General features: G+C 45.3%; 1 protein-coding gene and 1 pseudogene across 10 annotated transcripts in view; one reads left to right on the top strand and one right to left on the bottom strand.

The window, feature by feature from the left end:
• The window catches only part of AK7 (adenylate kinase 7), a 97,300-nt gene that overhangs the window by 63,919 nt on the left and 20,852 nt on the right, over nt 1–12,529 (top strand). For all 10 annotated transcript variants that reach the window (XM_006720021.3, NM_152327.5, NM_001350888.2 and 7 more), the window contains 2 exons: nt 301–429; nt 2,037–2,166. In XM_006720021.3, the coding sequence (XP_006720084.1) occupies nt 301–429; nt 2,037–2,166 (259 nt within the window). The remainder of the gene's footprint in view (nt 1–300; nt 430–2,036; nt 2,167–12,529) is intronic.
• Nucleotides 483–1,007, bottom strand: RPL23AP10 (ribosomal protein L23a pseudogene 10; annotated as a pseudogene).

A 12,529-nucleotide genomic window follows, 5' to 3' on the forward strand; every position in this document is an offset into this window, starting at 1 on the left:
TGGCCAACATGGAGAAAACCCGTCTCTACAAAAAATACAAAAATTAGCTGGGCATGGTGGTGCGCACATGTAGTCTCAGCTACTCGGGAGGCTGAGGCAGAGAATCGCTTGAACCTGGGAGGTGGAGGTTGCAGTAAGCGAGATCATGCCACTGCACTACAGCCCGAGCAACAGAGTGAGAGACTCTGTCTCAAAAAAAAAAAAAAAAAAAAAAAGCACTCCCCTGAAATAAAAAACCACTCTGTCTAGCTACAGATCATTCAGAGCTTGCTGTATGTTCCTTACTCTCTCCTCTTTCAGCCAATCAAGATCTGCATTCTTGGTCCCCCTGCTGTGGGAAAATCCAGTATTGCTAAAGAATTGGCCAACTACTACAAACTGCATCACATCCAACTGAAGGATGTCATTTCTGAAGCCATAGCAAAACTGGTAACACTTTAAACTATTTTCCTGGGCATTTTAATTAATTACTGTATTGTTCTTAGGGTATAAAGATGTATATGATTCGAATTAGCCAGCTGGATGCAGTTTAGATGATCCCAATTTTGTTGGCAACATCCAAGGTGTCCTAATCAGTAGCCAGGGGAACATCTGGCTTCTCTTCCCCCTCAGGCCTGAGAAGAGTGTTGACCTTGGCCACACTGGCGTCAGAGAGCTTCTTCACAGCCTGTTGGATGTGGCGCTTGCTGGCTTTGGCACCCGCAATGAACACAAGTGTGTGTTTGTGTCGTCTTCTTCGTGGCCAACTCAGGGGTCGGGGGATGTTAGTTGATGATGGCAGAGTGGTCATGCTGGTTTCTCCTGAGGACACTCTTGGGAGGATGTCTGGGCTGCCCCCGGAGCCACAGTGTCCTGGGACACCAGAAGGTGGATGACGTGTGGATCTTCTTTTCTCTGTGCCTGTGGACACCTTTCAGCACTGCCTTCTTGGCCTTCAAAGGTTTTGCTTTGGCTTCGGGAAAGAAAGGAGCTTCCTTCTTTACCTTCAGAGCCATCTTGTAAAATGGCTTTTTTTTTTTTTTTTTTTTTTTTGAGATGGAGTCTTGCTTTGTCACCCAGGCTGGAGTGCAGTGGCACGATTTTGGCTCACTGCAACCTTCACCTCCTGGGTTCAAGCAGTTCTCCTGCCTCAGCCTCCCAAGTAGCTAGGATTACAGGTGTGTGCCACTATGCCCGGCTAATTTTTGTATTTTTAGTAGAGACGGGGTTTCACCATGTTGGCCAGGCTGGTCTTGAACTCCTGAGCTCAGGTGATCCGCCCGCCTTGGCCTCCCAAAGTGCTGGGATTACAAGTGTGAGCCACCGTGCCAAGCCTGAAATGGCTTGTAACTACTTTATTGGGAATTTTAACATTTTAGAAATGCTTTTTTTAGTTTTATAATAAACAAGCAACTAATTTTGTATGTCAGTAAACAGGAGATTTGTTATTTTAATTGGATGTTCTTGTTGCCCCCAGTTATGAAAACACAACACTCTACAGGGCTGTCCTCTGAGACGGAAGCAGCTTCTGTGGGTTGCCCTTGAAATTTAGTCTGCCTCCAGCTGTGGTTCAAAGTATAGCTTGTGTTCTCTCTGTTGCCTGGAACGCTTGTAGGTGTTTTATTAGTGTTGTATGTTTCTCGGGGTATTATCAAACTTTATTTATAAACTGCTTTGTATCATTTTATTGGAAATGGCAGATACTGAGGTAGCTTTCATAAATGATTATTAAAAGTCTTGATTTCTGCAACATGTGGTTCCTTCAAGTAAGATACAACCCAATACCTTAGAATAACACATTAGAAAGATGTTGGCTCAAGCAGTTCTGGCATTAGCACAAAAATATACTATTCTCTTAAATATGCTGTAAGAAAAACCTCAAGGATCTCATGTGTCTTTGTGGATATGTGCATCCTGCAAAATTTTGCATGACAGCTGTCATAGGGTACCTGTCCTATTTGGATCCCAAGCTTTTTCCAGGATCACCTGCCAGCTGATTTGTGAATAGCAAATGGATGTGGGGCATCATCCAATGTGAATATCCCTGTGGTATGCAGGAGGCGATTGTTGCCCCTAACGATGTAGGGGAAGGAGAAGAAGAAGTCGAAGAGGAAGAGGAGGAGGAGAATGTGGAAGATGCACAGGAGCTCCTAGATGGCATCAAGGAGAGCATGGAGCAGAATGCAGGTAACACACACCCAGCAGAGAGCCACGCTGCTCTTGTGAACAGTGGCTATTTTTAAAAATCTGGTTATAAAAGACTGTTTAAAAAAAAAAGACTGAACTACAGGCGGGCGCCATGGCTCATGCCTGTAATCCCAGCACTTTGGGAGTCTGAGGTGGGAGGATCACTTGAGGCCAGGAGTTTGAGACCAGCCTGAGCAGCATGGCGAAACCCCATCTCTACAAAAAAATACAAAAATTAGCTAGGCATGGCCAGGCACAGTGGCTCATGCCTGTAATCCCAGCACTTTGGGAGGCCGAGGCGGGTGGATCACCTGAGGTCATGAGTTTGAGACCAGCCTAGGCAACATGGTGAACCCCATCTCTACTAAAAATACAAAAAATTAGCCAGATGTGGTGCCGCACACCTGTAGTCCCAGCTACTCAGGAGGCTGAGGCAGGACAATTGCTTGAACCTGGGAGGCGGAGGTTGCAGTGAGCCAAGTTCACGCCATTGCACTCCAGCCTGGGCAACAAGAGTGAAACTCTGTCTCAAAAAAAAAAAAAAAAAAATTAGCTGAGCATCGTGGCATGTGCCTATAGTCCCAGCTATTTGGAGGTTGAGGCAGGAGGATCACCTGAGCCTGGGAAGTTGAAGCTGTAGTAAGCCATGATCATGCCCTTGCACTCCAGCCTCAGTGACAGAGTAAGATCCTGTCTCAACAAAAAAAAAAAAAAAAAAAAAAAAAAGGTGAAGTACAGAAATTATAACAAAAAAAAAATCCTTCATAATCTCATTGTTAACATTTTGGTGATGATCTGTTGGTAGGATGGGGAAGAACTTCCTAAGTTAAAAAGAAAAAAATCGGCTGTGCCCGGTGGCTCACACCTGTAATCCCAGCACTTTGGGAAGCCAAGTTGGGCGGATCACCTGAGGTCAGGAGTTTGAGACCAGCTTGGCCAACATGGTGAAAACCCATCTCTATTAAAAATACAAAAATTAGCTGGGCGTGGTGGCACGTGCCTGTAATCCCAGCTACTCGGGAAGGTGAGGCAGGAGAATCGCTTGAACCCGGGAGGTGGAGGCTGCAGTGAGCCGAGATCGTGCCACTGCACTCCAGTCTGAGTGACAGAGCAAGACTCCATCTCAAAAAAAAAGAAAAAAAAATCACACATATGTTCATAAATCACTGGAACCCAGGAGGCAGAGGTTGCAGTGAGCCAAGATCACAGCACTGCACTCCAACCAATCAGTTGGTTGTCCTTTTAATTGGACAAACCAAGAAAAAATATTGCCACTGATATGATAAGTTAATGTCCTTAATATATAAAATGTTCAGGCAAATTGATAAGAGAGTTATGAAATCCTTAATAGAAAAAAATGGATGAGGCCGGGCACGGTGGCTCATGTCTGTAATCCCTTTGTAATCCCTTTGTAATCCCAGCACTTCGTGATCTAGGAGGGTGGATCACGAGGTCAGGAGTTCAAGACCAGCCTGGCCAAGATGATGAAACCCGTCTCTACTAAAACTACAAAAATTAGCCAGGCACGGTGGTAGGTGCCTGTAATCCTAGCTACTCGGAAGGCTGAGGCAGGAGAATCGCTTGAACCTGGGTGGCAGAGGTTGCAGTGAGCTGAGATCGCACCACTGTACTCTAGCCTGGGCAACAGAGAAAGACTCCCTCTCAAAAAAAAAGAAAGAAAAGAAAAAAATGGATTAATGAAATGGGCCAATACGTAATACAGGAAGACGTAGAAATAAATGGAAAATTATTCTTACTCAGTGATTCATTGTAGCCAGTTTGTTGAACAAAGTAATCACAGTAAGGTGTCGCTTTGAACTCAAACTGGATTCATTCTTTCCCTTGGATAGAATTTCAGGCTGGTTCCATTGCAACTCTTAGATAGTGAGTAGCCCCTTTGTTTATTCATGCTTTAGGAAGTCTGTTCCAATCAAATAATTACAAACTGGGTTTTGAACTGAGAGGTCTCTAAGGGATCTTGCTACCTGCAGGAAAGCAGTCAGTAGCAGTTATTAGAAAAATAAAGCCATTTCATCATGTTTACACTTGGACAGTTGAGCTCCTCCATCATCTGGTTATTGTAGTATCGCCTTCGGACTCATCTAATGCAGTTTCTCCCCTTGCCGTCTTCTCAACCACCTTTATTTTCTCTCCTCTTCCTTCCTCCTCCCTTCTTGCTGGTGGCCATTTCTGATCCTCCAGGGATCAAGGACAGGGGAGAAGGACAGAGAAGGATGTGGCCAACTCGGATGTAAGTTGGCATTGGGTGACAGACGGCATGCTTGCTGCTCCTTTGTCATCTCTCAGGGGCTCTTGAGATTCTCCTACTGAGAACTGCCCACTGCACCGCCGGGGCATGGCTCTTGACTGCCTCCATGGCCATCACTGGTCTTCTGGTACTCCACCCCTTTGCCATAGAGGTTGTCCTCTTCCCAGCTACTCACCTCCACCTGGGTTGGAGACCTAGTTTCCCTCTCCTAACTTCATCCCATTCCCTACCAGGTGTCCATGTCACCCATGTTCCACTCAGGGAGCACGCGACTGACCGGGGCTATTTGCCATTGGCCAGCTTAAGGAGGGTTCACTCTGGTCCCTGGCCCTGGTTCCTTATGTTTGTCACTGCCTGCTTCCATGGAGGTCTCTAGTCCCCCGACCCTTTCCCTGAAGGCCAGGTTAGCCCTGAACCTCTCTCCTCCTCCCCTCCACCAGATCAACCTAGTTTTCTGGGATGGAGGAGGTGGTTTTGCATGCAAACACCAAGTGTTCGCTGAAACCAGCCCATCATCTGAGTCTTGGTTTCTGCTTCATTGTGAGCTGCACCACAAGGAAATGGCATCTAGAATTCCAGAGAGATTTCCCAGAGGGGAAAGGAGTGCCCAGATGAATGCTTGGGGATGTAACATTGCCTCTGCCTTCCCATAAGACATTTGGGGAGCACTATGTTGGTTTTAGAGAGTCTAAAAGAGTGGAGTTGGGCACAGTGGCTCATGCTATATTCCCAGCACTTTGAGAGATCAAGGTGGGAAGATTGCTTGAGGTCAGCCTCGGCAACATAGCAAGACCCCCCATGTCTACAAAAAAAAGTCTAGCAGAGTTCTGATGCTTACCTTTTGGGTGAGGTGGAAAAAAACAAGATAAGACATTCCATTGTGAGGACATCTGTGGAAGGAAATCTGTCAAGGTCACATTGAGGGGTGTGGGACTGGGAGTTTTAGGAAGCCACAGTGTACATGGCCATGTGTAAGTAAAGCTTACAGCTGGGGTGTAAGGCTAGAAACAGGGTGCCAGGAGCAAGGAACTATGCCATCCCCTAAGGAGAGACAAGAATGTCTAATAATCAGGCTAACAGGACTCAGCAAACATTGAACTTTATTTATTTATTTATTTATTTATTTTTGAGAATGAGTCTCACTCTGTCACCCAGGCTGTAGTGCAGTGGTGTGATCTCGGCTCACTGCAAGCTCTGCCTCCTGGCTTCAAGCAATTCTCAGCCTCCTGAGTAGCTGGGATTACAGGCACACACCACCATGGCCAGCTAATTTTTTGTATTTTTAGTAGAGACGGGGTTTCGCCATGTTGGCCAGACTGGTCTCAAACCCCTGGTCTCAAGTGATCTGCCTGCCTTGGCCTCTGAAAGTGCTGGGACTACAGGCGTGAGCCACTGTGCTTGGCCAAGCATTATTTATTGACAAAGACATATAATTGGCCTTTGCAAGGGCCCAGAAATCTTATCCAAGGCTTAACCTAACAGTTAAGTACCAACTGAGCTCTTTTCACGCTTGGGGAGGTGACCACACAGAACAAGAATTGGAGCAGAGATAGTGCCCAGCTGAGAACACTCACTGAGGCCCCCAGGCTCCAGAGGGCCTGTCCTCTCACTCTGTTCTTCCCCCAGGTGTGAGAGGCCAAACAGGTTCAGCAGCCTCTGTCAGGAGAGATGTAAGAGGGGCCCTGGGAGGGGGCAGAGGAAGTGGTCGTGTGGGGAAGATACATCTTTAGAACAGCCAGCGTCCCTCAAAGCTCCTCACCCACATGTGACTCCCCACTTCCCCACTTCCTACAAGATTGGAATCATTCGGTTCCTTTTAACTTTCTCAAGTGTGTCCAAAAATCCCTCCTATCCGTATTTACCTGAGACGAAAACATGGACCTTGCCTATGTTTGAACAAAACAAGACCTTTGAACCCTTGGCACTGAGGTTACCTCACCTTTCCCTCACATGACTGCATTTGTTATCACATGATTCCAATGATTCTAGCAAAACGAGTTTCCCAGTCCCACAGTGAGGCCCCTCCATGTCCTAACTCCACTCCCATCGGCCCCTGATGGTGCAGCAAAATAAGGGCTTTGTTACACCATAGAGTGTGCTAATTACAGATTTTGTGCTCACTTTACATATTTCAAAAGCATTGTGAAATTACTGGATCTAGTTGGTAGGATTCCTGGTGATCATTGGACTATCAACTTTTCTGAGTTTCAAAATAAAAAGGGGAAGAAAAGTCTGTAAATGTACCAACTTGTTGATGTCTCTACTGTACATGGGTCATTGTAAAATCTTGGCTTGCAGCTATCTAATTTTTTTTTTAAACAAAACACATATTATTACTGTAATCAAGGCAAAATTTCTTAAAACAGTTAACCTTGGCCAGGCTTGGTGGCTCATGCCTGTAATCCCAGCACTTTGGGAGGCCAAAGAGGGCGGATCACGAGGTCAGAAGTTCAAGACCAGCCTGGCCAACATGGTGAAACCCTCTCTCTGCTAACGGTACAAAAAATTAGCCGGGTGTGGTGGTGGATGCCTGTAATCCCAGCTACTCGGAAGGCTGAGGCAGGAGAATCGCTTGAACCCTAGAGGCAGAGGTTGCAGTGAGCTGAGATTGTGCCATTGCAATCCAGCCTGAGCAACAGGGCAAGACTCCGCCTCAAAAAACAAACAAACAAACAAACAAACAAACAAAAAACCAGTTAACCTTGGCAGTGGAAGTCTAATCAGAACCATGACCATGACTCATGAATTAACATTGCGTTCTTTTCTGCTGTTGAGACTCGCTGTTTCACATACCATCTTCCACAAGACTTTATTAAACAAGAAGATGAAGAATGCACTTGGAAGTCACCAAGCATGGCTTGACCACTTGCTTAGTTCCTGACTTCAGACCAGTCACTGCCTCTCTCTGAACCTGTTTCATCCTGTGTTAAAAAAAATAATAATAATAAGAGAGAGGAGCCGGGCGCGGTGGCTCACTCCTGTAATCCCAGCACTTTGGGAGGCCGAGGCGGGCGGATCACGAGGTCAGGAGATCGACACCATCCTGGCTAACACAGTGAAACCCCGTCTCTACTAAAAATTCAAAAAAATTAGCCGGGTGTGGTGGCGGGCGCCTGTAGTCCCAGCTACTCGGGAGGCTGAGGCAGGAGAATGGTGTGAACCTGGGAGGCGGAGCTTGCAGTGAGCTGAGATCACACCACTGCACTCCAGCCTGGGCGACAGAGCAATACTCTGTCTCAAAAAAAAAAAAAAAAAAAGGAAAAAAAGAGAGGAGAGGAGAAGACAGAATAAATCCACCAGCTTGGAGGATTAACTGAGGTAACACAATGATAACCAAGAGAACATGAATGCAATTGCACTGTGAACTCTAAAAACTTACACAAAGTACAGTGTCACCAATAACAGGGAAGGGTGGGGTCACCGCCAAACAGTCTGTGTCTGTGGAAGCCTGGACGTGGCTGCATGACAGTCACTGAGAATTTGATCCTGGTGCAATGTTACCCCTTTCTAGGGGGTCTCATCCCAGATCCCAGGAGCAGGTTCTTAGATCTCACGCAGGAAAAAATTGAGGGTGAGCCACAGAGTATAGTGAAGTTAAGATAGTTTATTAGAGACTACTCTATTACAGAGTAGGGTGTCCTCAGAAAACAAGAGAAGGAATACCCCACAGTGAGAAGAGATAGTTTATTGAAAGCTACTCTGTCACAGAGTAGGGCGTCTTCAGAAAGCACAAGGGGGAAGGCCATACTATAAACAGTGCTTGCATGTATAGGTTGTTAAGAATGGTGTACTTGGCCAGGCGCAGTGGCTCACACCAGCACTTTGAGAGGCCAAGGTGGGAGGATCTCTTGAGGCAAGAAATTCCAGACCAGCCTGGGCAACATAGCAGGACCCCACCTCTACAAAAAATACAAAAAAAATAGCCAGGCGTGGTGGTGCGTGCCTATAGTTCCAGCTACTTTGGCGGGGACACAGGAGGATGGCTTGAGCCCTTGAGTCCGGGAGGTCAAGGCTGTGGTGTGGCCGAGACTCCAGCCTGGGTGACAGAGCAAGACCCTGTCCCAAAAAAAAAAAAAAAAAAAAAAAAGGAGAAAGAGAGAGAATAGTGTACTTTATTATAAAGGCTTATGGTCAACTTGTGACAGGCTATTAGTATTGTTTCTTATGTTACTTAAGAACATAAGTATGCTATGTTACTATTGATTTCAGTGAGAATTTACAAGTGTACTATTATCTTTAAAGCAAAACCTATTCTTAAACTAAGAATGCTTTTTGTTCTCAAAATATCAGGACATTTCTATAAGTTCTGGGTCTTTAGTTAGTTAGCATCATTAACTCAGTCCCTCAACCATAAATATCTTGTGACCAAAAGTGCTCAACCCCCTGGGAATGTCACCCAGCAGGTTTGGCTTTATCTGGCCTTTATTCAAGATGGAGTCACTCCGGTTAGGACAAAGGATATTCATGACCAAGTCTCCAGACCCACTAAGGATGTATCTAGCTTGACAAGCCACTTAGTATGGATCCAACTGTACCCTAGAAATATTTTGTCAGTTTTATTTTACCTCAATATACATTTGTACAGGCAATAATTAAACGACTATTACACAACAATTCAGTGAGTTTACTTGCTTTCAAGAATAATGCATGTAGTTACAAATGAGAGGCAGAAACACTGTATTAAAGACCTAAAAATAAGAACGGGTGCCGTGGCTCACGCCTGTAATCCCAGCACTTTGGGAGGCCGAGGCGGGCGGATCACGAGGTCAGGAGATCAAGACCATCCTAGCTAACATGGTGAAACCCCGTCTCTACTAAAAAATACAAAAATATTAGCCGGGCGTGGTGGCGGGTGCCTGTAGTCCCAGCTACTCAGGAGGCTGAGGCAGGAGAATGGCGTGAACCCGGGAGGCGGAGCTTGCAATGAGCCAAGATCATGCCACTGCACTCCAGCCTGGGCGACAGAGCGAAGACTCCGTTTAAAAAAAAAAAAGGCTAAAAATACATTAATTCTGGAATTCCATACAAATAAGGTAAAAATTACATTTCTTTGTCAAAGTAAAGGAAAACCGTGTTTCTTTTTGTTTGTTTTATCAATACACTAAAAGTAGATTAATGCCAAAAAGCTTTTATGAAACTTGTCAGAGTTCAGATTATTTTATGTAAAAGGATTAAAATAAAATCCTTTTATTTTACCTGGTGAATGGTTTATCCAAGTATTCAAGTAGGTGAGTAAAAGAACCAAAGAGGCCAGGCGCAGTGGCTCACGCCTATAATCCCAGCACTTTGGGAGGCCGAGGCAGGCAGATCATGAGGTGAGGAGTTCAAAACCAGCCTGGCCAAGATGGTGAAACCCTGTCTCTACTAAAAATACAAAAATTAGCCAGGTGCGGTGGCAGATGCCTGTAATCCCAACTACTCGGGGGACTGAGGCAGGAGAATTGGTTGAACCTGGGAGGAGGAGGTTGCAATGAGCCAAGATCATGCCACTGCACTCCAGACAGGGCGATAGAGCAAGACTCCATCTCAAAAAAAAAAAAAAAAAGAAACCAAATGATATACAACATAGGAAGGAACAATTGGAGGAAGTTTTTTTGGTGGGGGAGGTTAGGATTTTGCTCTGTCACCCAGGCTGGAGTGCAGTGGTGCACATAGCTCACTGCAGCCCCTATCTCCTGGACTCAAACAATCCTCCCACCTCAACCTCCCAAGTAGCTACCATGCCTGGCTAATGTTTTTAATTTTTATTACTTATTTATTTATTTTTTTTTTGAGACAGAGTCCTCGCTCTGTCACCCAGGCTGGAGTGCAGTGGCATGATCTCGGCTCACTGCAAGCTCCACCTCCTGGGTTCACACCATTCTCCTGCCTCAGCCTCATGAGTAGCTGGGACTACAGGCGCCCGCCACCACGCCCGGCTAATTTTTTTGTATTTTTTAGTAGAGACGGGGTTTCACCACGTTAGCCAGGATGGTCTCGATCTCCTGACCTCATGATCCGCCTGCCTCAGCCTCCCAAAGTGCTGGGATTACAGGTGTGAGCCACACTGCCTGGCCTTGTTTTTTATTTTTAGTAGAGATGAGATCTCCCTATGTTGCCTAGGCTGGTCTTGAACTCCTGAGCTCAAGCCATCCTCCTGCCTCACCCTCCCAAAGTGCTGGGATTACAGGTGTGAGCACCTGGCCCGTTCCTGGAGTGATATTAACTGCCTACATTCTTCATGACTAGCTCATTGGTGAACTGTCAGGATTAACATGAAAAATACACGGCCGGAGAGAGTTGCCCATTTTCCTAATAGAAAACAACCCTCATTTTTCACTAACGTCATGTAGAAACTCCATACCATTAACAAGCCTTTAGATCACCAACTTTGTTTTGGCCTTATTAAAATGCTGGCTTGATTTATGGTATTTTTTTTCTAATGCTGCCCAAATAAACCTATAATGAACCTAAAGTCTCGGGCAGCAATGCACATTCTGCATGCACAATAAAAAATGTAACTGAAAGCAAATAACCAACAACTCAGAATATTACTGAGGAAATCTGTAAGTGTAGACGAATATGTAAAAAAAAAAAAAAAAGGCAAAGGTTCTCATAAACACAAACTTTGACCAGTTAAAAGTCCACTAGAGATTACATAAGAATTTTGGAAAGTGTATATGTATAATCAAGTAAAATATTTTAAACAAGTCCGTTGTGCCTCAGTTAGTTTTAAATTGCAAACTCCAATACACAGTTCTTTTAACAAATTAGTGCAGTATGAAAGATTTTGCAATATTAATGTGTCCATATTAATTAGATCAAATTGAAGATTCCAAAATTTCTTCCAAGAGCCATCTTTTGCTGCTGCTTTTTTTTTTTTTGGCAACAGATTCTCACTTTCTCACTTTGTCACCCAGGCTGGAGTGCAATGGTGCAATCTCGGCTCACTGCAACCTCTGCTTCCCAGGTTCAGGCAATTCTCCTGCCTCAGCCTCCCGAGTCGCTGGGACTACAGGCGCACGCCACCACACCCGGCTAATTTTTTTGTATTTTTAGTAGATACACGGGGTTTCACTGTGTTGACCAGGCTGGTTTCGAACTCCTGAGCTCAGGCAATCCACCCGCCTCGGCCTCCCAAAGTGCTAGGATCATAGGCGTGAGCCACCCTGCCCGGCTGCTGCTTCTTAAGGTATTTCTTCCCTGAGCTGCTTACGGACATTACCTGATTTAGACAAATTTATCCAAATATCAAACTGCCTGGATGAGAATGTAGATTTTTAAACTTTTGTATCTCAGCAAACAATGGAGTTTTACCCATTGCCTGGTGAACTGAGTAAAAAGCCACTCATTTTGTTTCATTTCTCATTATCTTTAAGAATAACTGTATGGATAATTCTAGTTCTGAGGTACATTTATTTACCAAGTTCAAACTGGGACCCAAGTGGAACACTTTTGCTTCTGCTTCTATAAAGAAAAAAGTCAGATACGGTGGCTCACATATGGTGGCTCACGCCCGTAATCCCAGCGCTTTGAGAGGCTGAGGCAGGAAGATCACTTGAGGCCAGGAGTTTGAGACCAGCCTGGGTGGCATAGCAAGACCCCGTCTCTACAAAAAAAAAAAAAAAAAAAAAAATTAGCTGGGTATGGTGGTGTGCGAGGCACTAGGATTACCTGATCCCAGGAAGTAGAGGCCACAGTGAGCCAAGATCCCAACACTGCACTCTAGCCTGAGTGACAGGAGACCCTGTCTCAAAAAAAAAAAAAAACAGAAAGAAGGGTGATCTCTCTCATGAGGCAGACTTCCTACAAATACATAGCTTTTGCACTCTTTCCTTTTTTTTTTTTTTTTTTTTTTTGAGAAGGAGTTTCACTCTGTTGCCCAGGCTGGAGTGCGCGATCTCGGCTCACTGCAAGCTCCGCCACCCAGGTTCATGCCATTCTCCTACCTCAGCCTCCCGAGTAGCTGGGACTACAGGCACATGCCACCACGCCCGGCTAATTATTTTGTATTTTTTAGTAGAGATGGGATTTCACCGTGTTAGCCAGGATGGTCTCAATCTTCTGACCTCGTGATCCACCTGCCTCGGGCTCCCAAAGTGCTGGGATTACAGG

The sequence above is a fragment of the Homo sapiens genome, chromosome 14, assembly GCF_000001405.40.
Source record: "Homo sapiens chromosome 14, GRCh38.p14 Primary Assembly".
In the NCBI taxonomy this organism is placed as follows: Eukaryota; Metazoa; Chordata; class Mammalia; order Primates; family Hominidae; genus Homo; species Homo sapiens.